The 27,566-nt window shown below is 43.9% G+C and overlaps 1 protein-coding gene across 16 annotated transcripts in view, besides 1 other annotated feature; it reads left to right on the top strand.

Annotated features, from left to right (window-relative positions):
- Positions 1-27,566, top strand: part of REEP1 (receptor accessory protein 1) — a 124,091-nt gene that overhangs the window by 58,373 nt on the left and 38,152 nt on the right. For 15 of the 16 annotated variants that reach the window (NM_001164730.2, NM_001164731.2, NM_001371280.1 and 12 more), the window contains 2 exons: positions 15,670-15,746; positions 24,897-25,017. In NM_001164730.2, coding sequence (NP_001158202.1) covers positions 15,670-15,746; positions 24,897-25,017 — 198 coding nt within the window. The remainder of the gene's footprint in view (positions 1-15,669; positions 15,747-24,896; positions 25,018-27,566) is intronic. The other variant, NM_001164732.2, reaches the window with a different exon arrangement.
- Positions 19,192-19,782: an enhancer, noted in NCBI's record as "H3K27ac hESC enhancer chr2:86487052-86487642 (GRCh37/hg19 assembly coordinates)". NCBI's record gives its function as "activates a minimal SCP1, AML or CMV promoter by ChIP-STARR-seq in naive H9 embryonic stem cells {active_cell/tissue: H9 hESC(naive)}" and the evidence as "EXISTENCE:reporter gene assay evidence [ECO:0000049][PMID:30033119]".

Raw genomic sequence — 27,566 nt, 5'->3', positions numbered from 1 at the left:
TCAGAGCCAGCAACATTGCATCTCTCTGGCTGTTCTTCCATAACCATATCTCCCTCAGGCTCACTGGGAAAGGTTCTCCACTTTAAGGATTCATGTGATTACATGGGGCCCACCTGGGTCATCCAGGATACTCTTCCCATCTGAAGGTCCTTAATTTAATAATGCTACACAGTCCCATTTGCCATATGGGGATTAGGACATGGACATCTTTGGGGAGCCATTGTTGTGCCTATCACACCTCCTAACTGGTTCTCCTGCCTCCTGTCCCTGCTTTCCCACTCTGTTGCCACATGACATCCAGTGCCATTTAAAAATGAAAGTCTATTTATTTCACTCCCCTGGGTCATTTAATGGCTGCTTATCACCTGCAAGATCAAGCACAAACTTCATTACAGCATTTAACACCCTTCTCAATCTTGCTCTTCCCTACTTCCCAGTCGCTTCTCTACACGTCTTCAGCGCTGTAATCTCAACACCCAAGGTGTGGTTGGTGGCCAGCATTATCTGCATCACCTGGGAACTTGCTTGAATTGAAGACTCAGGCTTGTCTTTCTGTGGAAGGCACAGAAACGGTTATCATGAAGGAGTTTTTGACACACATTCCCCTAGAAGTAGGAGGCATGGCATGCCATGTAGGGCCACACAGGGGAACCACCAGGGCTGGTCAGGAAGCAGAGGGAGCTCTCCTAAATAAAAATGGGCATTTTTCACAGGATCTCCAATTTAGAAACATTGCTCAAGACATTTATAGCTGCTTATGTCTTTCCAACCAAACTTACTGTACCTGGATTCAAGGTTTTGGGATGAAAACTTAAACAGAAAGGAATTTACGGGAATTTATAGAATTAACTAGGTAGCAGGAGAAAGATACCCAGGAACTGGGGAGGATCCAAGGAGGCTGGGTGGTGCTGACGGCCCAGCTCACACCATAGGAAAGTGTGTGATTAGGAAGCCTCTGCCAAAGTCACATCTTGGGCACTGGCTGCTTGTGCTTTTGAGGCATCCCCTGACAGTGCACAGTCCTGGATAGGGGCCCAAATAACAGGACTTTCCTCCCACAAAGATGCTCATGTTGGGAGATGTCTCCCAATTTTAGAAGGCTTTGGATGCTGAGTAGTCATGGAAAAAAAATAACCAATACAGCTGCCTCTTAGGCTACCCCAAACTACATCCACATCCATTCCTTTACCCACATTTCGGCTTAAAAACAAGCTTCCAACAAGAATTCTATACAACTCACTCACTTGTCAAATCCAGATTCCGTAAGTTGCTGAGTCCAGCTCCAGGCCCAGTATCCCTGGGCAAAGTCTTCTCCTCCTCTGGTTCTGACAAGACCCAACCTTAATATTCAGCATTCCGAACACTGAATTGTTAAGTGAACGGTCACCAATGCAGCTCACATACTATTTTAGTGGGGAGAGAAAGAATTAAAATATAATTACTTAAAATATTAAAATCTATACTTAGAAAGGAGGAAAATATGGATAGAAGATACAGTCCATATTCATGCAACTGGTCATGAGTTCATAGCTGTATTTGTGTCTTTTGTTAAAAGAAAAAAGTTTTTAGAGGGTGGAATCATGACTCTTGTATGAATATAAAATGAACACATGTTGAAGATTTTGCTTAACTTATGAACTAATGAGGGAACCAGTAAGGTGTTCAAAGGAGACCCCAAATAACAGACATATGTAGGCAATCAGAAATGTTGAAATGGATTTGTTAATAAATATTAAACTGATTACTTGGAGGGTGGGATGGGGAGATCAGTTGTATCTCTGCTGGACAAAATTTATTTGCACCTCTGTGGGTGAAACTATATGCATTGCAATCAGTTTTAACTTATAAAGTTGTAAAATAGCTCAAAGACATTGAAAAGCAGGACACCTGCAGAATCAAGATAATTCAGAAGGACATGCTGGACACCTAGCATTCCACAGGATACCCATTCTGAAGTCTTTCTCAGGTTTTCCTGAGGCTTTCCTCTTCCGCCATCCAATTCATGCTCCCGTTGCTTTCAGCTAGAGCTTTAGTGGGATTTGTTCCTCATCCTGTGATGGGGCCCAAATCTTTATTCCTGAGGAATCTGAGGTCTTGGCAGTTTTGCCTCTGTAGGGCTGTAGTAATGACCCATTGACTTTTTTTTTTTTTTTTTGATACAGAGTCTCGCTCTATCACCCAGGCTGGAGTGCAGTGGCACGATCTCGGCTCACTGCAACCTCTGCCTCCTGGGTTCAAGTGATTCTCCTGCCTCAGCCTCCCCAGTAGCAGGAATTACAGGCATGCAGCACCATGCCTGGCTAATTTTTGCATTTTTGTAGAGATGGGGGTTTCACCATGTTGGCCAGGCTGGTCTTGAACTCCTGACCTCAGGCAATCCACACACCTTGGCCTGCTAAAGTGCTGGGATTACAGGTGTGAGCCACCACGCCAAGCAACCCATTGACTTTTACCCCTGAACAAGACAGTACTAGGAGGCCCCCCCAAGGCTGTTTGACTTCCATCTGCTCTTCTTTCTGCCTCATTGTGTAGCAGCAGTCCTGGTTCCCCTTGATAATTAGGATCAGTTAGCACCTCAAAGCCCATAAGCCCCTTTATCATCTATTTCCTACTGGCGTGAGTATCGTGAAGCCACCAGGAGACAATATAAGTCTCTGCTTCCACTTCATTGAAACCATTTTGTATCCCCTGTTGGAAGCATCCATCCCTCAAGTACCAAAGTCATTAAGAAGCAGAGATCAGAGGTCTGAGGATGAGAAGCAAAAATGTTGTGAGTGCGTTAGAGCAGTGATTCTCAAACTTTAACATGCATATGAATGAACAGGGGATCTCCTTAAAAGCAGATTATGATCCAGTAGGTCTGGGATGGGGTCTGAGATTCTGCATTTCTAACAGGCTCCCAGATGATGCCAACAGTGCTGGTCCACGGACCTCACTTTGATTGCAAGGAGCTGGCATCAGGCTTAATCATAGATTAAGGAACCCTCATTTCCTTGGTTCCTGCACCTTTAGATTCTGGCTAAGAAGCACCACCATATGTTGGTCACTGGTTCAGAGGAGAAACTGCACCCTCCAGGACTGCACACCAATCTCATAAAATGCTGACTCCCACCTTGGTTGCTTTCGGAACCCTCCAATGCCAGGTAGCACTGTATAAGGCCAGCCACCGCAGGGCATTGGGTGCATAAGATCAATGACTCCCCAAAGCATCAGCCTATTGCCTTATTTCTTTTGCTATAAAGGAGGGTCCTTGATGAGAAGCAGTATTGTGTGGGATGCATCAAAAGGAAAAGGGTAATCCCTGAGTCCACAGCTTGCTGTGTGGCTGCCAGAAGCAGAGCAGTAGGAAAAGCAAGTCCACATGCAGAAAAAATGAATATTCCAGAAAAGACCCTATGCCGCCCACTCCATGAGGGAAGGGGCCTGGTGGAATGAACCTGCTTCCAGAAGGCTGGCTGGTGCCTTGTGATATGGTATCAGCCTGGAGATGCTTGGTCATTGCTGCTGGCAACATGGTCTCTGAGCAGTGGTTGTGGCCAGGTCAGCCTTGGTGAGAGGGATTCCACATTGCTGAGCCTGTATGCTACCTCTGTCACTTCCACTTGGCTGTTTGGTACATGAGCCCATTGAACATGCACTATCAAGCCTGAGGAAGGAGGCTGGCCGACATCCACAGACCTGGCCATCTCATGCACTTGGTCACTAGGAGCCTCCTCTGCTGTGGGACCTGTTGGTGAGCATAAGCGTTGGGCCAACAATGTATTCATTCTCTGGGCCCATTCACCTCATTCCCAGACCACCTCAACAGGAGTCTCTCAGCCTCACTTCTTCCAAGAACCTCATCCTCTAGACAGAGCTTTAGCTGGTGTTTGAAAATGTGCCCGGGATTTGTTTTACTCAGGGATGGAAAGTCACAAAGACGTGGAAATGACTGTCATGAAGGAAGAAGTCTAGAAGTAGGAGAGTCACATGCTTTGTAGGGCCACATGGGGAAGCACCAGGCCAGTCAGGAGGCTGACGGAGAGTGGGAAACGTGGGCAGTGGCCTTCATTGTGGTTTCTGTGAGAAAGGTAAGGCAAGACAGGGTAAACAGATTTCAGATTGGCTAGGTGGAATCATTTCAGCAGGCTCCAAGGTGTGGGCGCTGCCTCTAGTTGTCTGGGACCTGGCTCTGGGGTGGTTATGGTTGGGGAATATTGCCCAACCTGTGGGAGCTCCATAAAGGAAGTAATTTAGAGTATAGACTCTGGATTGGTTAGTTTGCATATGAAAGGTGTGCTGGGGCAAGGCTAGCCCTGGAAGGGCAGTCCCTCTGTAATCATTGAGGCCCCAGATGCCAGAGCATCAAGAATATAGAAAATAAGAAAATGGAGTTCATATACCCGGTGACAGTGCGTGAACATTAACTTAGGGCATTTCTCCCTCCAGGCTAAGTGCCCTGCTCAAAGTCCTGCCTGCAGGGGAATTTCACTTTCCCGCTCTCCTAGGGTCACCCCTGACTATATAGCCATCCACGGTGAGCAGATGGTGCAGAGTCATCTGTAAAGCAGGCTTGAATTTTTTCTTTCTGTCATATGGCACAGGGAATTCCCTGTGAGGCTGAAGCGCAGGGCCCAGATGCAAGAGGGTGTGAAAGGCTTGAGAAATTGAATGTGCCTGGTTAGAGCAGAGTCCAAAGGTGAGGTGAGGCTAAAGAAGTAGCTAAGCCTGCTCCTCTGCAGCCCATAGGGAGGCCTTTGGCAGGCTGCCAGAAGCTCTGGCAGTGGGGTAGAATGGACCAGGGAATTTCAGCCAGCTGCTGTGGCTCATGGAAAGTCTCCAGGCCGCTTCCTACCCTGAGCTCTGGAGCTTCTTGCTGTGGCTGAGGGTCACAGCATCTTTCCCATCTCTTCACTCCTAGATCCTGCTCCTGACCAGTTTAGAGAGACTCCCCAGTCATACTGTCAACGTTCCATTTGTCCAGGAGAGTTACTCCTGAATATTACCTCTCAAATTGGCCATAGCTCCCTCTCTCTATTCTGACTGAAGGCCCACCCAGGCTCCTCATCCCTATCTTGCAGGGAGGTTTGGATAGAATCTTTCAAACATGGAAAATTATATTTCAAACCTTGGGGAAAATAACTGTCATTTGATTTCCACGAGGAATGATGGGGAAGACCATTTCCTAGTAATTTTAGATGGCTATGGTTTCCATCTCTGAGTCACCAGTGTTCCGTTGACCTTGTTAGCCTCAATGAGTCATTCTCAGATCCTTCTTTCTGCATGAAAGTATTTCAAAGGAGTGCATCATGGGAACTTCTTCAGGAGAATGCATTAAGTCCCCTCTCTGCCATGGCTGCAGCATCTCTGTCCATAGCCTCAACCTCCTTCCTGAGCTTTGGTCTTGCTTTTCTAGGAATCCGTTGGGCAATCTTCTTGGCTGCCCTGAGCCACATAAAGCTCAAACTCTTCTGCCTAAATTGGCTCTTTCTTTACTTTCTTGTTGGTGCAAGTGGCCCCATAATTATCAGTCTCTGATGTCCTGACTTCAACAGGTGCCTTTCTTCCTATGTTTATGCAGTCATCAACTCAGTAGGCACTCATAGGGAGCATCTGTTGCCTCACAAGTTGTCTAATTCTGTCTTTTCTTCTCAAAAAGCCATCTAGACAGTATTTCTCAAAGTATACTCTTTCTTAACCTTTTGAAACCATTCTTTCTGTCCCATTCACAGTGCCAGCATTCTAATCCGGTCATTTGAAACATACTCATTCAGTACCTATTATATGTCAGGAATTGTTTTGGGTACTAGAGATATAAAGATGTATAAGGAGAACTGGTCTCCACCCTCAGGGAGCTTACAATGTATTAGGAAAAGCAGGGGAATAAACAGGTACTTTCAAAGCAGTGTGATAAATGTTATGACAGGGAATGTGTGTGGTACTGTAAAGAAAGACAAGGAGAGGGTATTTACCCAAACTTCGGGTATGTCCTAGAGGAGGTCACGTTTTTGCTGAGATCTGAGGGCTGAAATCAGACGCAAAAAAAGATGCTTTGTTGAGAACTGAAAGACTCATATGGTTGGAGTGGAAAATGTGAGAGGGTAGGGGTGTGGATGAGCTTTTGATGAAAATAATTAGGGGCCAGTTTGCGGGTGTGGTGGATCAAGCCTGTAATCCCAGCACTTTGGGAGACTGAGGCAGGTGGATTGCTTGAGCTCAAGAGTTCAAGGCCAGCCTGGGCAACATGGTGAGACCCTGTCTCTACAAAAAATACAAAAAAACTGGCCAGCCTTGGTGGCATGCACCTATAGTCCCAGCTACTCAAGACGCTGAGTGGGAGAATCACTTGAGCCCAGCAGGTCGAGACTGCAGTGAGCTGTGTTTGCACCACAGCACTTCAGCTTGGATGACAAGCGAGACCCTGTCCCCCTCAAAAAAAAAAAAAAAAAGGTAGGGGCCAGTTCATGCTAGGCCTCATAAGCCAATGTAAGGAATTTGGGCTTTATCTTAACAACAGTAAGGAACTATTGAAGGCTATAAACTAGGAAAGAAAGTCACCCGCTTTAGGTTTAAGAATTTTTTTTTTTTTTTGAGACAGGGTCTTGTTCTGTTGCCAAGGCTGGAGTACAGTGGTATAATCACAGAGCTGTGATTATACACAGCACTGCAGCCTTGACCTCCCCAGGTTCAGGTGATCCTTCTGCCTTAGCCACCCTGGTAGCTGTGACTACAGGTGTGCATCACCATGCCCAGCTAATTTTTGTGTTTTTTTATAGAGACGGGGTTTCACCGCATTTCCCAGGCTGGTCTCAAACTCCTGGGCTCAAGTGATCCACCTGCCTCAGCCTCCCAAAGTGCGGGGATTACTGGCATGAGCCACCATGACTGGCCTTAAGAAAATCATTTTGGCTGGAATTTGGAGGATGGATTGTGAAGGGGACAGAGGTGTAAAGACCAGCATAAAGTTGTAACTATTCTAAACAGGAGATGGTGGTGTTCTGAAGTAAGGAAATGGCAGAGGAGAATGGAGAAAATAAGACAGGTTCAAGAAAAATACAAGAGGGTGGAAGTGACAGAACTTGGGGATTGGTTACCTGTGTTAGGTGAGGAATGTACAGTTTTCCCTAGGGACAGTGTCTAGTCTAGAGTTAGAAGCAGATGTCTAGAACAGAGCTCTAGGGAGGAAATGAAGACACTGAGAAGAAGTGGCAAGAAAAGCAATTGGGAAACCAGGACAATTGTAGTGTTGGGAGAGCTTTTCAGTATGTGATTGTTTCACTACTAGCCAAAAAGTCAAGCAAGCCAAGTAAAAACTGAAAAGAGGTTTCTTACACTTCCTTGAAGTATGTTACAAAGTGGAGGCCCCAGTGAGAGCAATTTTGATGTAATGGATGCACTGCAGTGAGCAAGTGAGGAATGAGAAAGTAGATCTTGCAAGTATAGATGACTCACTGGAGAAGTTTGTAGCTAAGGGTTGCATCAAGGAAAGGGATTTTTAAAAAATTTTCTGAGATGGAGTTTCACTCTTGTTGCCCAGGCTGGAGTGCAGTGGCGTGCTCTTGGCTCACTGTAACCTCCACTTCCCGGATTCAAGCAATTCTCCTGCCTCAGCCTCCTGAGTAGCTAGGATTACAAGTGCGTACACCACACCTGGCTATTTTTTGTATTTTTAGCAGAGACGGGGTTTCACCATGTTGGTCAGGCTAGTCTCAAACTCCTGACCTCAGGTGATCTGCCCGCCCCAGCCTCCCAAAGTGCTGGCGTTACAGGCGTGACCCACCACGCCTGGCCAAGGAGAGGGATTTTTAAAATTGTTATCATTGTCCTTTTGCTCTAATTGAAGACCCAAAACATGAATTGACTACTAAAAAGAAAAAACCTATAAAGAAGGAATTCAGGCTCCTGACAATGTGTCTGGATACTGATGTTGAGAATTCCCAGATCCTGAGCCCCAGCAGGCTATAGACTTTACCACTGGACAAAACCTCATTTGCCCCCTGCTAAGGAGTCAGTGCTGCTACAGACAACCTGGCAGTGTGCAGTGTCTCAGACAGTAGTTATTTGATGGACTAAACCTACCTTGTTTTTCTGATAGAGAAGATCTGTAAGTAATCCATTGAGAAACATGTTTTAGAGTCACAAAGACAACATGGATTCACCAGAACAGCTTTCATTTTTTGAAAGATATTTTTGCTGGGTATAGAATTCTAGGTTGACATTTTTTTTCCTTTTAGCACTTTAAAGATGTTATTCCATTTTCTCTGATAGTCATTTTTTCCAATGAAAAGTCAGCTATCATTCTTATTCTCATTCTCTTGTGTGTAATGTATCTTTGCATCCTCTCTGCTTTTAAGATTTTCTGTATGGTAATGATTTTTCTTTTTTTCTCTTCTTTTCTTTCTTTTTTTTTTTTTAAGCAGTTTTACTATGACTTGCCTAGGTATGGTTTTCTTTTTCTTTGTATTTATCTTGCTTGGGATTCACTGAGCTTCCTGGTTCTTTGGGTTTGTTGGTTTGTTTATTTGTTTATTTTTTTGTTTGAGACAGAATCTTGCTCTGTTGCCCAGGCTGGAGTGCAGTGGCATGATCTCAGCTCACTGTAACCTTTGCCTCCCGGGTTCAAGCAATTCTTGTGCCTCAGCCTCCCAAGTAACTGGGACTACAGGCACTCACCACCATGCCCAGCTAATTATTATATTTTTAGTAGAGACAGGGTATTGCCAAGTTGCCCAGGCTGGTCTAGAACTCCTGGCCTCAAGCGATCCACCTGCCTCAGCCTCCCAAAGTGTTCCCATCACACCTGATCAGGGTTTGTTATTTTTTTTTTAATCAAATTTTAGAACTTTGTAGCCAGTATTCTTCAAGTGTTTTTTTTTGTTCTCCATTCTCATGTTTCTTTCCTTCTGGAATTCCTATTACATGTATGTTAGACTGCCTGATGCAGTCCAACACATATTGAGCCTCTCAGTGTTGTTTTCCAATCTAGGCTTTAGTCTGCATGGCTTTAGTCTGGATTTGTCTTCAAATACACAGATCTTTTCTTTTGTTGTATCCAATATGCTGTTAATTCTGTCATACTGTTTCATTTCAGATATTGTGCTTTTGAATTCTAGGATATCATTTGTTTCTTTTTTAAGAGTTTCCTTCTTTCTCTTGAAATCCCCCATCTCTCCACTCATTGTATTCACATTTTCTTTTAGATTCTTTAACATATTTATACTTTTTAAAGAAAAATATGGCTGGGCACGGTGGCTCACACCTGTAATCCCAGCACTTTGGAAGGCCAAGTGGGTGGATCACCTGAGGTCAGCAGTTTGAGACCAGCCTGACCAACATGGAGAAACCCTGTCTCTACTAAAAATACAAAATTAGCCAGGCGTGGTGGCGCATGCCTGTAGTCCCAGCTACTCGGGAGGCTGAGGCAGGAGAATCACTTGAGCCTGGGAGGAGGAGGTTACGGAGAACTGAGATCGTGCCATTGCACTCCAGCCTGGGCAACAAGAGCAAAACTCCATCTCAACAAACAAACAAACAAACAAACAAACAAACAAACAAACAAAAGAAAAATGATACTGAACGCATCCTTTTCCTCCTAGGATAAGTATCTTGTTATGTGGTGACAAAACAAAAGTTTAGTTTTCATAATAAAAGTTTTGTTAATAAGTTGCTGTATATCTGTATATCTTCTTTGTGGAGTGTCTGTTCAGATCTTTTGCCCATTTTTTAATTGGGTTGTTTGTTTTCTTATTGTTGAGTTTTAAGAGTTCTTTGTATATGTTGAATACAAGTCCTGTATCAGATATATATCTTGCAAAATATTTTCTCCCAATCTGTGGGAGAAAATTGAGTTGTTTGTTTTCTTATTGTTGAGTTTTAAGAGTTTTTTTTTTATATTTTAAATATAAGTGCTTTATCAGATATGTGTTTTATAAATATTTTCTCCCAGTCTCCTTGTTCTCTAAATGTTACCTGTGCAGAGCGGAAGTTTTTAATTTTATTATTATTTTTTCCTGACCACCTATTACCATCATGTCCTGCACTAGTGTTTCAGGTTTATTTTTAAATGTCCTTTGCTGGGAGGAAGGGGCCATTCAGTTGGTTGGGAGCTTAGAATTTTATTTTTGGCTTATAATCCAGTATGTAGATGGTTTGCTGGTAGCCTAAGAATCAAAAGAGCAATGCAAAATTGATACTTTGGCTTAGTTAGAATTCCTCACCCACAGGGACTTCAGACCTCACTGGACAAATTGTAATTTGTCAAACCGAAGTAAAATATTTAGGACATTTGTCACTGAATGCCATAAAGTGTTATAATCTAGGAGTTAGCTAATTTTGCAGATGAAATGGCAACAACAAATATAACTTAGACAATTTGGGGGACTAGTAGGATATTTTCCACAGTGGAGTTCAGGGTCAAAGGCAAAATTACAACAAATTTAGTTTAAATACCTCAGTTGACTTTATTATGAGCCTAGAATTGGGCAACACTTCATTCTATAAAATAGAACAAGTGTTCTAACAAGCTGAGCTGAAGGGATTGGCTTTATAGACAGAAGGGATGAAGAAAAAAGGTTTTGAATTTTAATGAAGTCCAACTTAACGATTTTTTTCTTTCATAGATCATACCATTGATGTTGTATCCAAAAACTCAGTGCCAAAGCCCGAGGTCTTTAGATTTTCTTATATGTTGTCTTCTAGAAGTTTTTTAGTCTTGTGCTTTGCATTTAGACCTATGATCCATTTTGAGTTAATCTTTGTGAAAGATGTAAGGTCAGTGCCTAGATCCATTTTTCATTGTTGTTATTGCATGTGAATGTCCAGTTTTCCCAGCATCATTTGTTAAAAAGACCATCTTTTCTCTACTGAATTGCTTTTGCTCCTTTGTCAAGGATCAAATCACTATACTTGCGTGGGTCTATTTCTGGGATCTGTGTTCTGTTCCATTTATCTATTTGTTTATTTTTTTACCAGTTGCACATGGTCTTGATTATTTTAGCTTTACATTAAGTTTTGAAATCTGATAGCTTTAGTCTTTCAATGTTGTTCTTCTTTTGTATTATATTAATTGTTCTGGTCTTTTACCTTTCCATATAAACTTTATAATCGGTTTGTTGATATCCATAAGAAACTTGCTGGGATTGTGATTGGGGTTGCATTGAATCTATAGATCAAGTTGGGAAGAGCTGACATCTTGACAATATTGAGTTCTCCTATATATGAACATGAAATATTTCTCCATTTATTTAGATCTTTGATTTCTATCATTTGTATAGTTTCCTTTATATAGACTTTTTACATATCCTGTTTGATACATTTCTAAGTTATTCATTTTTAGATGGTACTAACATAAGTAGCATTTGTGTTTTAATTTCAAGTTCCAGTTATTATGTAGGAAAGCAATGGACTTTTATACATTAACCTTGTATCCTGCAACCTTGCTCTAATCATTTATTAATCCCAGGAGGATTTTTTTGGTGAGTTCCTTGGGATTTTCTACGTAGACAGTTACACCATCTATGAGGAAAAATGGTTTTATCTCTTTCTTCCCAGTCTGTATATGTTTTCTGTTTCTTGTCTTATTGCATTATCTAGGACTTCCATTATGATATAGGAGTGATGGAAGAGAATAACTTTGCCCTTTTTCTGATCTTAGGAGGAAATCATCTATTTTCTCACCAGTAAGTCTAATGTTAGCTGTAGGGTTTTAAAAAAAATATGTTCTTTATCAAGTTGAGGAGCTTCCCTTCTATTTCTACTTTGCTAAGGTTTTTTTTTTTTAAGTCACAAATGAGTGTTGGATTTTTTTCATTACTGATTCAGTTTCTTAAATAGACTATGGGCCCTTTGCACGTTTTTAACTGGGTTATGTACCCTTTTATTGTTGAGTTATAAGAGTTTTTTATATATTTAGATATAAGTACCTTATCAGATGAATGATGTGCAAATATTTTCTACCATTTTGTGGGTTGTGTTTTTACTTTCTCGATGGTGTCCTTTGAAGCAAAACAGTTTTTAATTTTGATGAAGTCTAATTTGTCTTCTTTTTGAGGTAGGATCTTGCTCTGTTGCCCTGGCTGAAGGGCAGTGACATGATCATAGCTTACTGCAGCCTTGAACTCCTGGGCTCAAGCCATCCTCCTGCCTCAGCCTCCCAAATAGCTAGCTAGGACTACAGGTGTGTGACACCATGCCTGGCTACTTTTTGAGTTTTTTAGTGGAGACAGTGTGTATTAGTCTGTTTTCACACTGCTATAAAGAACTTCCCTGAGACTGGGTAATTTATAAATGAGGTTTAATTGACTCACAGTTCTGCATGGCTAGGGAGGCCTCAGGGAACTTACAATCATGGTGGAACGTGAAGGGGAAGCAGGCACCTTCTTCACAAGGTGGCAGGACAGAGAGAGACAGCAAAGGAAACTACCTGTTATAAAACCATCAGATCTTGTGAGAACTCACTCACCATCATGAGAACCACATGGGGGAAACCGCCCCCATGAACCAATCACCTCCCACCAAGTCCCTCCTCTGACATGTGGGGATTAAAATTGGATTACAATTTGAGAAGAGATTTAAGTGGGGACACAACCACACATCCAAACCATATCATGGGCTCTCACTATGTTGCCCTGGCTGATCTCAAATTCCTGGCCTCAAGCAATTCTCTCATCTTGGCCTCCCAGTAAATTTTTTAGTTTGGTTGTTTTTTTTTGTTTTTTTTTTCCCCTGAGACAGAGTCTTGCTCTGTCACCCAGGCTGGAGTGCAGTAGCCCAATCTCAGCTCACTGCAACCTCTTCCCCCTGGGTTCATGCCATTCTCCTACCTCAGCCTCCTGAGTAGCTGGGACTACAGGTGCCCACCACCATGCCCGGCTAATTTTTTGCATTTTTAGTGGAGACGGGGTTTCATCGTGTTAGCCAGGATGGTCTCGATCTCCTGACCTCGTGATCCACCCACCTCGGCCTCCCAAAGTGCTGGGATTACAGGCGTGAGCCACCACGCCTGGCCTTTTAGTTTGTTTTTTTGTGTGTGTGCTTTTGGTAGTATATCTTTATTTATTTATTTATTTATTTTATTTTTTTTATTTTTATTTTTATTTTTATTTTTTGAGATGGAGTCTCGCTCTGTCGCCCAGGCCGGACTGCGGACTGCAGTGGCGCAATCTCGGCTCACTGCAAGCTCCGCTTCCCGGGTTCACGCCATTCTCCTGCCTCAGCCTCCCGAGTAGCTGGGACTACAGGCGCCGGCCACCGCGCCCGGCTAATTTTTTGTATTTTTAGTAGAGACGGGGTTTCACCTTGTTAGCCAGGATGGTCTCGATCTCCTGACCTCATGATCCACCCGCCTCGGCCTCCCAAAGTGCTGGGATTACAGGCGTGAGCCACCGCGCCCGGCCCTTTTGGTAGTACATCTAAGAAAGCATTGCCTGATCCAAGGTCAGAAATATTTAATTATATGTTTTTCTTGTAAGTGTTTTATAGTTTTAACTCTTACATTTAGGACTCTGATCCATTTGAAGTTAATTTTTGTATATGGTATGAAGTTGTTCAACTTTATTATTTTACATGTGGATATCTAGTTAACTCAAAACGTATTGATACCTTTTAAAGCCCTTGTCTGCTAATTCTAATATCGAAGTCATCTGTGGATCTGTTTCTATTGACCAATTTTTCTCCTAACCATGGATTATATTTTCCTATTCCCTCACGTGTAGTATTTTATTGTATACAGAACCTTGTGTGTGATTCATTGTGGAAACCACAGATATTTTATACATTTTTCTTATTTTTTTGTGTTTATAGCTTTAGGGGGTACAAGTGCAGGTTTGTTACGTGGATATATTACATAGTGATGAAGTCTGGGCTTTTAGTGTAACCATCACCCAAGTAGTCTAAATTGTACCCATTCGGTAGTTTCTCATCCCTCATCCCCTCCTACCTTCCCACCTTTTCAAGTCTCCAAAGTCTATTATTCCACTCTCTATGTCCATGTGTACACATTATTTAGCTCCTATTTATAAGTGAGAACATGCAGTATTTGGCTTTCTGTTTCTGAGTTATTCTACTTATGATAATGGACTCCAGTTCCATCTATATTGCTGCAAAAGACATGATTTTTTATTATGGTTGGGTAGTATTCCATTGTGCATATATATATATGTATGTATATACACCCCATTTTCTTTATTCAGTCATCCATTGATAGACTTAGGTTGTAGATTTTTTTTTGCCTTCTTGTGAAGAATGTTGAGTGTTGTTCTAGCAGGCAGTTAAATTCAGGCAGATCACCTTGACCCTGTGGCAGCTAGATACGTTTTGTTTGGGCAGGTATATTTAAATTTTGCTCTTAGTCATAGAGTTAATCTCTTAGTGTTAGGATGTAATTTTTATTGCTAAGATGTGGTCTTCCAGGTGTTTCACTGGAAATTCCAAATGCTTACCAAACCCCTCTAACTTTGCATGACTTGAATTCCAAACTTTGTTTCCCCAACAGTGGGCAGAAGCTAAATCTCTGCTCAACTCTGAGCTTTTCAGCTTTCCAGCTGTTTATATCTACATTTATATCTATATGTATTTATATCTATATTATTATACAGACTTCTTCGCTTGGAGTCTTACCTGCTTCTGTGCATTTCAGGGACCTGCCAAGTTTTTGAAGAGAATTTATATGTAGATTTTTGGGGTGCCCCTTTATGGCTTCCCTAATTCTGAGATTTTTCTCTGTCCACTTCCAGCATCTCTGGCAGTCTCAAACTGCATTCTCCTTTTCTTTGGACAAATAAGACTCTGGATTTGAGATTGAGTTCTCTCTGCCCCATGATGTGCAGAGTGAGGACTGTCCTCAGCCGCACTGACTTGTACTAACCCAGTGTGGTTCCCGTGCTCCAAAGCTTGAACCCCTTCCAGTCTCTGTCTGCTTTTTATATTGCTCTCCAGGGCCTTCAAACAGTTGTTTTGAAATATTTTGTTTGGTGTTTATTATCATTATTAGTAGGAGCCTTAGTTCAATATAAGCTACCTCACTTTTGCCAGAAGCCAGAAGGAGTAGACTAAGGAATCTGGACTTGATTCTGCAGGCTGGGATATTTTAAATGGGGTGATAGTCTGATGAGTTTATACTTTTGGGAGAATAGTACAGGGGTGGCTTGGTATTAGGATGGGTTGCTGAGGGGAAAGTCAGGAAACAAGGGAAGTAGGAGTAGTTCAAGAGAGAGGGGACAAAGGCCTTAGGGGAGAAAGGCAGTAGAAATTGAAAAGGATGGTCACATGGGAGAGATAAAAGGAAGATCAGAATTCCTAGATTACTACCATGCCATCCCAGAGAGTGTGGCCCAGTTACACTTCATTCCAGGGTGTGTTTGTGTAGAGGCCTAGAGCATTTTCTCCCCTGATGTTCTGAAAAATGACCTGATTGAATCCTGGGTCACTCTTGGTCCGCAGGTCTCCCCGGCTCACTTTAGGGCCATATGACCTTCAGCCTGAGTCAGTTGTGGAACAGCCCATTTGCTTCCAGCTTCAAGATCTGGAGCAGAACTGGACATAAGCTGGGGAAGGATAGGGAGAAGGCTACAAATGCAGGCTGCACCACCTGGACGTGCCTCCGTATCTGCCGCCGGGGCCTGTTCTTCCTGGTGTTGGGCAGTGTTTTTCCTGGACCTTTTCTACCAGCTGTGTTGCTTTCTGTTTCAACAGGTCAAATGGATGATGTACTGGATTATATTTGCACTTTTCACCACAGCAGAGACATTCACAGACATCTTCCTTTGTTGGTAAGTACTCCAGGAGTTGGGATGTTTCTAAGGACAATTTTGCTTAGTGTCACTCAGGGGGAGGTGGGAAAGGGCTGAACCCAGCCTCAAACCTCACCTCAGGCCAGAGACGCAAGAGCAGGGATGTTAACTGGAGCATTTTTAATAGATTAGTCCACAAAGTTGTTCTTCAAGTAAATATTTATTGAATGACCTTATAAAGAGCAGTTATTATTCTAAGCCCTGGGGATATAGTCATGGACAGGACAGATACACATCCTCAATTAATGGAGTTGGTAAAGAAGCATTCGTACGTTAAAAAAGTAAAGGAACAAAAGAAACAATGCACAAAAATGCACAGGAAAAACTGAGTTTCCTTCTCACTCAATTCATGGTCAACATAATCACTACTCACAGTTGTGTATCCTCTTAAAAAACTAATATATGGCCTAGGTGTGGTGGCTCATGCCTGTAATCCCAGCACTTTGGGAGGCCGAGGTGGGTGGATCACCTGAGGTCAGGATTTTGAGACCAGCCTGGCTAACATGGCGAAACCCCATCTCTGCTAAAAAAAAATACAAAAAAATAATTAGCCGGGCATGGTGGTGCACACCTGTAGTCCCAGCTACTTGGGAGGCTGAGGCAGGAGAATCACTTGAACCCAGGAGGTGGAGGTTGCAGTAAGCCAAGATCGCATCATTGCACTCCAGCCTGGGTGACAGAGCAAGACTGTGTCTCAAAACAAACAAACAAACAAACAAAAACTAATATATGTGTGTGTGTATACACACATTTTACACACACTTCTTTTTTTTAAAAGCAGTATTATAGTATACATGAGAGTTCTCACTTTGCTTATTAAATTTATTTTGGAAATACTTTTATATGAGCATAAATACATCTACCTAATTTTTAATGGCTACATAATATTTCATGGCATAGATGGAGCATAATTTATTTGTCATCCCCTTTTGATGGGCATTTAAGTTGATACCCATATTTTTCTCTTATCAGCAATGCAGCTATTTCCAGCAATGAAGCAATTAAAAAACAAGCTAGATCTTTGTATTGCTGTATTGTGCCTTCTTAGGCGAAAGAAGCTGTAAATAATATATCGATTTCTGTTTGTATTTAAAGAGTTGAGTGTGTGCACATGTGAATGTGTATTAAAAGTAGTGTGGAAAATATAGTTAACGAGGGTTATTTCTACGACTTGGGATCATGGGGTTGGTTTTGCATTTGCTGTGTTGTACGAATGTTTTAACCATGGTGAAGTGTGATCAGAGAAAGTAATCAAGATATTTCCACTTTGGAGAAAACAGGTTCTTACCCAAAAAGGATCAGTATGAAATTACCCTCTGGGACGTCCTAGGCCAAGGAATAGACCTGAATAGCACTCTCTGAATCCTGTTTTGAGTCAATGGCCTTAATTATCTTAGCATGTACTTTTCCCCACAACATAGCTTTCACCTCCACTGAGAGAAGTAGATGTCCCAGCCATTGTAGCCTCAAGCTGTAGTGAAGGAGTATGGATTTCCTAATTCAATATGCTTGTGCCTTCGCACCCTGCACTGTGCACAGGTAGTGCAGCAGACTCTGGATGAAGCTGAGTCTCCTTAAGTGGGACAGAGCTCTCTGCTGAGCCATCCCTTGTCTCCCCGAGACCTTGAGGCTGGCCCTGGAAGTCAGGCCATTTTGTACAGAGCTGCATCAGGAAATGAAGGGGTGGGTTGCCTCTCCACACCTGTGGGTGTTTCTCGTTAGGTGGAACGAGAGACTTGGAAAAGAAAAAGACACAGAGACAAAGTATAGAGAAAAAAATAGGGGGACCCAGGGAACCAGCGTTCGGCATATGGAGGATCCCGCCAGCTTCTGAGTTCCCTTAGTATTTATTGATCATTCGTGGGTGTTTCTCCGAGAGGGGGATGTGTCAGGGTCGCAAGACAATAGTGGGGAGAGGGTCAGCAGACAAACACGTGAACAAAGGTCTTTGCATCATAGACAAGGTAGAGAATCAAGTGCTGTGCTTTTAGATATGCATACACATAAACATCTCAATGCTTTACAAAGCAGTATTGCTGCCCGCATGTCCCACCTCCAGCCCTAAGGCGGTTTTTCCCTATCTCAGTAGATGGAACGTACAATCGGGTTTTATACCGAGACATTCCATTGCCCAGGGATGGGCGGGAGACAGATGCCTTCCTCTTGTCTCAACTGCAAAAGGCATGCCTTCCTCTTATACTAATCCTCCTCAGCACAGACCCTTTACAGGTGTCGGGCTGGGGGACGGTCAGGTCTTTCCCTTCCCATGAGGCCATATTTCAGACTATCACATGGGGAGAAACCTTGGACAATACCTGGCTTTCCTAGGCAGAGGTCCCTGCGGGCTTCCACAGTTTTTGTGTCCCTGGGTACTTGAGATTAGGGAGTGGTGATGACTCTTAAAGAGCGTGCTGCCTTCAAGCATCTGTTTAACAAAGCAGATCTTGCACAGCCCTTAATCCATTTAACCCTGAGTTTGACACAGCACATGTTTCAGAGAGCACGGGGTTGGGGGTAAGGTTATAGATTAACAGAATCTCAAGGCAGAAGAATTTCTCTTAGTACAGAACAAAATGGAGTCTCCTATGTCTACTTCTTTCTACACAGACACAGTAACAATCTGATCTCTCTTGCTTTTCCCCACAAGGAAACTCCTGTCTGATTCACAAAGATGAGAGTAGAGGCCGGCCCAGTCAAGACTGTGTAGTCAATTAAATAGCACCTCCTGCCATCCAGCCTTTCCTCCTTAACCAGGCCTTCTGTGTGGTGCTAGGGGCCTCTTCTGTCCTCCCGTGTTAGTCTCATGAGCCCATTCCTGGGGATATCAGCATTTCAGCCTCACTGCTTTTTGCTGGGTGGAAATCCTATCTAATGATGGCTGTGTTCCTCCTGGGTAGCTGGAATATGCCCTTACCTGTGGCCCTGGAATTTTAGAGTTTCATATCTAGTAAGTGCTCAACAACTATTTCTGGAATTGATTTCATTTTGATTTTGGGAGGCATATTAGTTTTCTATTGCTGCCATAACAAATTACCACAAATTTAACAGCTTAAAACAGTACAAATGTGTGATTCCACAGCTTCTGTAAGTCGGAAGTACAGGTGGAATCATCCTCTGCTTAGAATCTCACAAGACCAGAATCAAGGTGTGGGCCAGCCTGGTCTTTTATCTGAAGGCTCTGGAGAAGATTCCCCTTCCAGGCCCATTCAGGTTGTTGGCAGAATTCAGTTCCTTATGATTGTAGGACTGAGGTCTCCGTTTTCTTGACACATGCCACCACCTTCATCTTCAAGCCAATGATGGCCTGTCGAGTCCTGCCCATGCTTTGACTCTGTGTCTGCTTCTGCCACCAGTTAGGGAGGATCTCTGCTTTTGTTTTAAGGGCTCTTGTGATTAGATTAGGCCTACCCCAATAATCCCATATAATCTCCCTGTCTTAAAGTCGTCTGATCAGTAACCTTCATTACATCTTGGCCAAAACTCTGCCTACCACAGGGGGATGTTTGATGCCTGGTGTGTTTGGAGCATGTATGCAGGTATGGGTAGAATCCCCCTCTCTTCCTGACCCATGTGGAGGCCTCTTCTGCTCCCTTATTTGGTCTCTTAGCTGGGGGTGTCCAGGCAGTTTGTGGGTGGGAAGTGAGGGTCCTTTGCTCTTCTCCTGGTGGCCTGAGTTCTGCTTCTGCAGGGAAGAGGCTCCTTAGGAACCTTTCTGCCTGCTTTATCCCACAGCCTGATCATGTCCTCACCCTGCTTTCTCTTTTTCTCCCAACCTCCAGGTGTCATAGATCCTAGTCTTCTTCTGGGAGGGTCCTCTCTCTCCTTCCTTCCTCTCACCCTGAGAACAGGCACAGGATGGGCCCATCAGGGAATGTAGGAATTTTGCTTCACTTCCAAGCACATGGGCACCATCTCCGCAGCTCTGAGCATTCTTTACTATTCAAAAAGGTTAGGGGGAGAGTTTCTGTCCTAAAATATGTCTTTTGTCTTCCTAGAAGCACCTTTAACTTTTGTTCTCTTCCAGAATTGGAGCCACTTGTATGGACCTTCTTTTCCTCACTCTTCGCTCACCCCCATTCCCCTCTTCCCACTTCTCCCCTAGGGCGGATCCCTTTTCATGGTTAACTTTGTAAAACTTTCCATCTTGATGAAAACAACAATTATTTATGGTCCCAGAATAGATAAGATGGTGGCTTGTTTCACAGGTTGTAGAGGTGATTTCATTTAGTTTTTTTTTTTAGTTATAAAATAATACAGGCTGGGCGTGGTGGCTCATGCCTGTAATCCCAGCACTTTGGGAGGCCGAGGCGAGCAGATCACTTGAGGCCAGGAGTTCGAGACCAACCTGGCAAACATGGTGAAACCCCGTTTCTACTAAAAAATACAAAAATTAGCTGGGTGTGGTGGTGCAGCACCTGTTGTCCCAGCTATTCAGGAGGCTGAGGCAGGAGAATCACTTGAACCCGGGAGGCGGAGGTTGCAGTGAGCTAAGATCGCACCACTGCACTCCAGCCTGGCGACAGAGTGAAACTCTGTCTCAAAAAAATAAAAATAAAAATAAAAATAAAATAATACATACATAAGGAAAAATGAAATAGAAACAATACACTGAAGAGTAAGTGTCTCTCTTCTCCCAGACCCACAGTCTCCCTCCCTAGAAGTACCACTGTTTTTTTTTTTAGACAGAGTGCAGTGGTGCGATCTTGGCTCACTGCAATCTCTGCCTCCGAGGTTCAAGTGCTTCTCCTGCCTCAGCCTCCTGAGTAGCTGGGACTACAGGCACGTGCCACCATGCCTGGCTAATTTTTTGTATTTTCACCATGTTAGCCAGGATGGTCTCGATCTCCTGAACTTGTGATCCGCCCACCTCGGCCTCCCAAAGTGCTGGGATTACAGGCATGAGCCACCGTGCCTGGCCTGGCTAGTAACACTGTTAAAAGTTACTTGTGTTTTCTTTTCTTCCAGAAATGCTCTATACACATTTATTGCATGTATTTTGGACAGTTTCATCCCATGTCTAACCCTCTTAGAACACATCTGTCCCTCTAGAGTGTCTGGGTGTTATATGGGGAGAGTGGGGAGAGGACAACTGCCCTGTGCTCCAGTGCTGTACATATGCCTTGGAAAAGATGGAGGAAATGTGGTGGGTGCCTCTGGCCTTTTCAAATACATCTCAGAGGTCAGGGCTCTTCAAGGAGTTCTCATTACAAAATGAGTAGGGCCTTTCTCTGTCTCTCGAGGTAGGCTGGAAGAAGACTTGGCGGGGATTGTGTTGGTAGAGCCAAGGGACCCCAAGGCCTCTAGGAGACACAGGGTCTGAGTGGATCAGCCTGGATTATCTTGTGATGCCTGGCAAGGACCTGGTTTTGTATGTGATGATTCCAGAGGCAGCAGGACTGTTCCCCTCCATCCCACGCCCCTACACTTCAGTGACAGAGATTTTAAGGCTTTATGTGGGGAGGGCCTGGCTTTAAATCCGGAGTCAGCATACTTTTTTTTGTAAAGGGCCAGATAGTAAATGTTTTGAGCTTTCAGGCCATATGATCTTTATTGCAACTACTCAACTCTGCCATTAGCATGAAAGGAACCATAGACAATTAATAAATCATTGTGCATAACAGTGTTCTAATAAAACTTTATTTATAAAAACAGATGACAAGCTGGATTTGGCCCATGGGCCAGGGTTATTGGGACCCCTGGATCCATTCTAGCAAGCAACAGAGACCCCTCTGACAGACTCAAGGAAAAGAAAACAATGACGCTCTGTTGGTAGATGCTGAAGTAATTCACAGAATAAAAGGAAAAGCTGAAACACTAAGACTCTGGAAAGGGAGGAGCCAGAGTGCCTCAGGAACCCTAGCACTGAAGCGCTGATAGTTACTCCCCTCAGCACCGTTCACAAAGAGGTTCCCTTGTAGCTCGGCTGAAGTAGGTAAAGATCATAACCATCGTAAATATCCATTCATGGGGGCCTGAGCCGGTGCTCATACACTCGTATGCAGCCATTAAGATGAGTGAGATAGGCCGGGCGCGGTGGCTCATGCTTGTAATCCCAGGCGGGCGGATCACCTGAGGTCAGGAGTTCAAGACCAGCCTGGCCAACATGGTGAAACCCCCGTCTCTACTAAAAATACAAAAATTAGCTGGGCATTGTGGTGCACGCCTGTAATCCCAGCTACTTGGGAGGCCAAGGCAGGAGAATTGCTTGAACCCAGAAGGTGGAGGTTGCAGTGAGCTGAGACCGTGCCACTGCATTTGCAGCCTGCGCAGCAGAGTGAAACTCTGTCTCAAAAAAAAAAAAAAAAAAGATGAGTGAGGTAGCTATCCCTGTGGTGGTATGAGATAGTCCCCAAGGCATACTGTTGATTGTATGTATGTGCTGGGAGAAGCAAGATGTAGTAACGGGTGTATAGAATGCTTCTGTGTGTTGGGGGCAACTCAGGGAGTCATATATACCTGCATGATGTATCCCTCGCCCTAGTCTACCTCTGGAAGGATATGCAAGTAACTGATAATGTTTTTGCTTTTAGAAAAGGGACTAGGGGTTAGGCGGGGGAAGGAGACTCTTCGTTGTATACTCCTTTGGACTTTTAGAATTTTTTTTAACTATATGCATGCATGACCTATTTTTTTTAAAAGACATCTTTTATGTAATAAATAAAAGAGCTGCAGTGCGACAGATTATTTATGTGTCTTGTGTTGGTGTCTGAGCTTGCTGGATTCATTTCCTTTCCCCTTGGGGCTGGTGAATACTTGTTTTCAAAACAGAAGTTCCTCCGTTATTAATCACCAGAGTATTCAAATATGGGAGAATCACACCTCTGTTCTTCAGCCTCTCTCTTTTCTGGCTGTGAAACATTAAACAATCTTGCCATGAAAGTGCCCACTAATTGCTGAGGAAATATTCAGGAAGCACCCACCAGAGGCAGAAGGCAGGGGGCCAGGAGACCTTGGTGAGGAAAGGAGGCGTGGGTAAGGCTACTGACTGGGGGATAGGGGTGTCTGTGTGAGAGTTAAGGGCCCTCCAGTGACTTGCTGTTTTTGATTTTCTGATCGTTTATCTGGGGAGGATGCCTGGAAAGGACTTTCTGATCTCTAAGACTAGGACAGGTGACTGTCTCATCTCATAGCATCAGGTTTTAAGGATACCTGGGATTTGTTTTAAGCGAGTGTGGGTAAGACATAGACATGGAAATAATTGTCACGAAGGGAGAAGTTTCTTTGCTCACAGATTCCTAGAAACAGAGGCACAGCACACCATGCAGAGCCATGTTGGGGGCCACTCAGGGTCCGTCAGGAGAAGAGGGAGAAACTGGGGTGAGGGCCTTTAACATGTTCCACATTAAAGGAAGGAAAGGGCAAAGCAGGGTGGGCAGGCTTGGGCTTGGCTGGTTTGAATAATCTCAGTAGGCTCTGGGGTATATGGGGCTATCTCTGGTTGTCTAGCCCTGGCCCTGGGATGATTGGGGCAGGTGGATGGTGGCCTGGAATGTGAGAGTCCATCAGAGGCAGTGGCTGGAGCCTGGGCCCATGGATTGGTTGGTTTGCATATGAAAGGTGTGTTGCAGGTGAAGTTCTTTTTTTTTTTTTTTTTTTGAGATGGAATCTTGCTCTGTCGCCCAGGCTAGAGTGCAGTGGCGCGATCTCGGCTCACTGCAACCTCCAACTCCTGGGTTCGAGCAATTCTCCTGCCTCAGCCCCCTGAGTAGCTGGGATTACAGGTGCCCGCCACCATGCCCAGCTAATTTTTGTATTTTTTAGTAGAGACGGAGTTTCACCATATTGGTCAGGCTGGTCTCGAACCCCTGACCTTGTGATCCACCCACCTCTTCCTCCCAAAGTGCTGGGATTACAGGCATGAGCCACCGCGCCCGGCCAGTGAGTTCTTTACTATCTCTAGCAATTGGCTCACCTTGTGGGAGGGGCAGTTCCTCCAGAGTAAGCAAGGCCCCAAAGTACATCAGAATACAGAAAATCAAAAATAAACCATAAACACATGGTTACTACACCTCTGGACTGCCAAATATGGTTGCTCGGGTTGTTCACAGCACAAGATATCTGGCCAAGCAGGTGAATGGGGCTGAAATTCAGACCAAGCTCTGTGGTATGTGGCCACAGAACTGCTTCCAGTTGAAGAGGCCAGTTTTCTTCTAATACATTCAAAGGCACCACGTGGGCTAGCACTATGGCACTTGTCTCAGGTTTCTGTTCTATATTATTTGTGATTATTTTATAAATCTCTGTTTCCCTGACTGGACCCTTAGTTCCAAGGATGCCAGAATCTTGTCTGTGTTCCCAGTGGACCAGAAGCTCCATGAGGGCAGGAATCAGGTCTTCTTTGCTCACCGTTGCCTCCCTGTACCTCCTTATACCTGGTGCTCAGTACAAGCTGGCACGTACAGGGACTGGGTGCCTGCCTGTGGGGGGACAAATAAATGAACAGGCTTGAGGGTATGCAGGACTGCAAACTCCAGAATTATGTGCTATCTGCACCGTGGACTCTTCTGTTTCTTGGCACTAAGAAGATCAAAATCTGTTTGCCTGCCATTGACTTGAGTAGGGTGAGTAGCATTCTCCTTCCTGCCAAGAGCTGGGCTCTTGTCCCTGCCTCTGTTTGGGCCAAGAAGGCAGCCAAGAAAGAGAGGCTTTCATTCTCAGTCTAGAGATTTTTTTGTCAACTCTTCCCTGCTGTAATTCCCCCTGGTGTTTGTCCCTTCTTGGATGTGAGTGAAGAGTGAGTGACTGGGTGTACAGCGTAGAAGAGATCCTCTGAGCCTGTAGGCTGTGGCCAGAACCCTAGCTCCAATCTAAATGAGCACAGCCCAGCAGGAAGCTCCAGCCTGTGCCAGGCAGGGCCACGGGGGTGATTGCTGGAGAGAACCTGTGTTCCTGGTTTGCTTTGGCAACAAAAGAAAACACGAACTGGTTTTCAAAGAGAGGCGTTGGGGTTGTACTGTGTGTGTGCAAGTGTGTGCCCTCACCTTCATAGGTGGAGGACAGAGGAATCTGGGAAACTTGCAGCCACATGCAAGCAGGAGAGGCGTCCTTGCCACCCACCGGGTCTCATCCTTCAAAAGGGCAGTGTTGCTGAGAACCTAACAGAACTTGTGTTTTCATCTCTCTCTCCAGGTTTCCATTCTATTATGAACTAAAAATAGCATTTGTAGCCTGGCTGCTGTCTCCCTACACAAAAGGCTCCAGCCTCCTGTACAGGAAGTTTGTACATCCCACGCTATCTTCAAAAGAAAAGGTAATATATGCTGCCATGTCTTTCATTCTTTCTAGCAAGTGAGAAAATAAGTAATAAATAAAAAGGGATGATCTTATTGCAGGAGACTTCTCATTTGGCTCTCATTTGCCTCCAGCAAGTCATTCCTCCTAATCGTTTTTTTTAAGTGTATTTCTGAGACGTGTTTAGAAATAGTGGTGAAGTTCTCTAAAAGATGTTATTTGTCATTATTTACTGGAAAACATTTCCATAAATTGAAACAAAAGAAAGAAAAAATTCACTCAATTTAACCACGCAAAGTGAATTTCCTTCCTTTTGTCATGCTTAGCCCCTGTCCTTTTATAGACATGATTTTTACATAGACTATTTTAAATCTTACCTGGAAGCCAGGTGTGGTGGTGCATGCCTGTAATTCCAGCTACTCAGGGGTATAAGGTGGGAGAATCACTTGAGCCCAGAAGTTCAAAGCCAGCCTGGGCAACCTAGAGAGTCCCCATCTCTTAAAAAAAGAAAGAAAGATTAAAATTTTATGTAGAATTTTTTTAAAAAAATGATTTAAAAACTTAAATAAAATGTTTGTATCCTGAGATTTTAAATGTGTTTGCACACAAATCCATTTCTACTTGGTCTTCGTAATACCCATGATGATGTTCCCTTACTGCTAGATATTTAGATTATCTCTACCTTTTCCTGATATAGATAGTTCTGCAGTGAGCACTACCATTCCTGGAGTTTAGTTGCTTCCTTTAATTGTCTTAGAATTAATTCCCAAGAGCAGGATTATTAAGTCAAACGATTCCAACATTGTATCATTCGTTAACTGTATTACTTACTAAGCTGATTGTGTAGTGGGGTTTCTTAACTAAAATAGGAGCATTATAGGTGGCTTGACAGATTAATGTCTATTGTTTCTGAAAGTTGAATTCCTTGGACTAGAAAGGGGAAGGCTTTGGGAAACATATCCGTTGGATGAGCAGGCTACTGTACAAGTTTCGGAAAATCTCTTTAGGAACTCGGACCGCAGCACTTCCTGTCTCAGAAGGGTGGATTTTGAGGAACGGATCCCTGTCTTGACCTGGTTATCAAATCCCTACTCGTCTTACTTCCCTTTCCCCAAATGCTGGGCTTCCCCTGAAGCTGCCAATGTAACTTCCATTGAAGTGAAGGTGACTGACTCTTAAGAGTTGCCAAGAATCACTTCCAAAGGGGTGGTGGTGGGGGACAGGCAGGTCACAGTTAGAGGGCCTGCTGCTATGACTTCCTGGGGAAGCCTTCCACAGGGAATCCAGCAGGAGGTTGCTGACCCACTTGCACACCTCAAAGCAATGGAAATACACTAATGCACAGAACTTGACTAAGGCCAAATGTCATTGTCTTACCGAACTCTGAAATGAGCAGCTGTCATGAAAAACAGCCTTTTTTTGGGGGGTGGGGGGCGCGGAATCTTGCTCTGTTGCCCAGGCTGGAGTGCAGTGGCACGATCTCGGCTCACTGCAACCTCTGCCTCCTGGGCTCCAGCAATTCTCCTGCCTCAGCCTCCCAGGTAGCTGGGACTATAGGCACGTGCCACCATGCCTGACTCATTTTGTATTTTTAGAGGAGATGGGGTTTTACCATGTTGGCCAGGCTGGTCTCGAACTCTTGACCTCAGGTGATACGCCCACCTTGGCCTCCCAAAGTGCTGGGATTACAGGCGTGAGCCACTGCACCCGGCCGACAAACAGCCATTTTCTTAAAACAATGACAACAACAAAACACTCCCAAACAAACAAAAATAATACACCAAAGTTAATCCAAATTTGAACTAAACCAATATTGTACTTGGCTTTGGTCCCTGAAGAAGACCTCAATCCTGTTTTCCATCTCACCTTTACCTTGTTGCATGACACTGGATGACTTCTAATTTCTGATTTTATTTGAATATGTGTAAAACAATCTCCCTTATCCAGTAATACTCATTTCTTTCAGCTTTGTAATCCCTCCCATCGATATACAAATGGGGTGATATTTGATTTTAGAATTAAATAACTATAGAATAACAGAATTTTAGAACTGCAAGGGCTCAACCCTGTCAAGATAAGGAAGATGACATGGTTATCATTTATTGAAACTAGCCACTGTGTTAGATGTTTTACTGGAATTACCTCATTTAATCCTCACCATGCTCCGCAAGTTGGGTATTATCATTATCCTCGTTTTTCAGAAGACTAAAACTGTGTGTAGAGAGGCTTGCCAAGGTCTGGCAGTCAGTTGGTGGCAGGTCTGAGGCTAGAAGCTCGGTTCTGGGCACTCTCTCCACCCTGGGTGCTTTCAGTGTCTGGTGAGTGGCTGTGTGTAGAATGGCAGGCAAGGCTGTCCATATCCAGAACCTCCTGGAGCCTCCTGGAAGGTCAGAGGGCTTTAGAAACAATCTCAGGGCATCGCTGGATCCGTAAGTTGCAGTGTTTTCAGAGTTCCCTTTTCTACTCTCCTGTATCTCTGCTCTCCCCTCTGCACGCACACCTTCAAAGTGCCTACAGCTTTTCAGGCCCAGCAAGAACAAGGATTGGGCAAGCTGCCAAGCCCAATGC

Source organism: Homo sapiens, chromosome 2 (assembly GCF_000001405.40).
Source record: "Homo sapiens chromosome 2, GRCh38.p14 Primary Assembly".
In the NCBI taxonomy this organism is placed as follows: domain Eukaryota; kingdom Metazoa; phylum Chordata; class Mammalia; order Primates; family Hominidae; genus Homo; species Homo sapiens.
The sequence above is the reverse complement of the archived record's forward strand: the minus strand, read 5'-3'. Positions and strand labels throughout refer to the sequence as shown.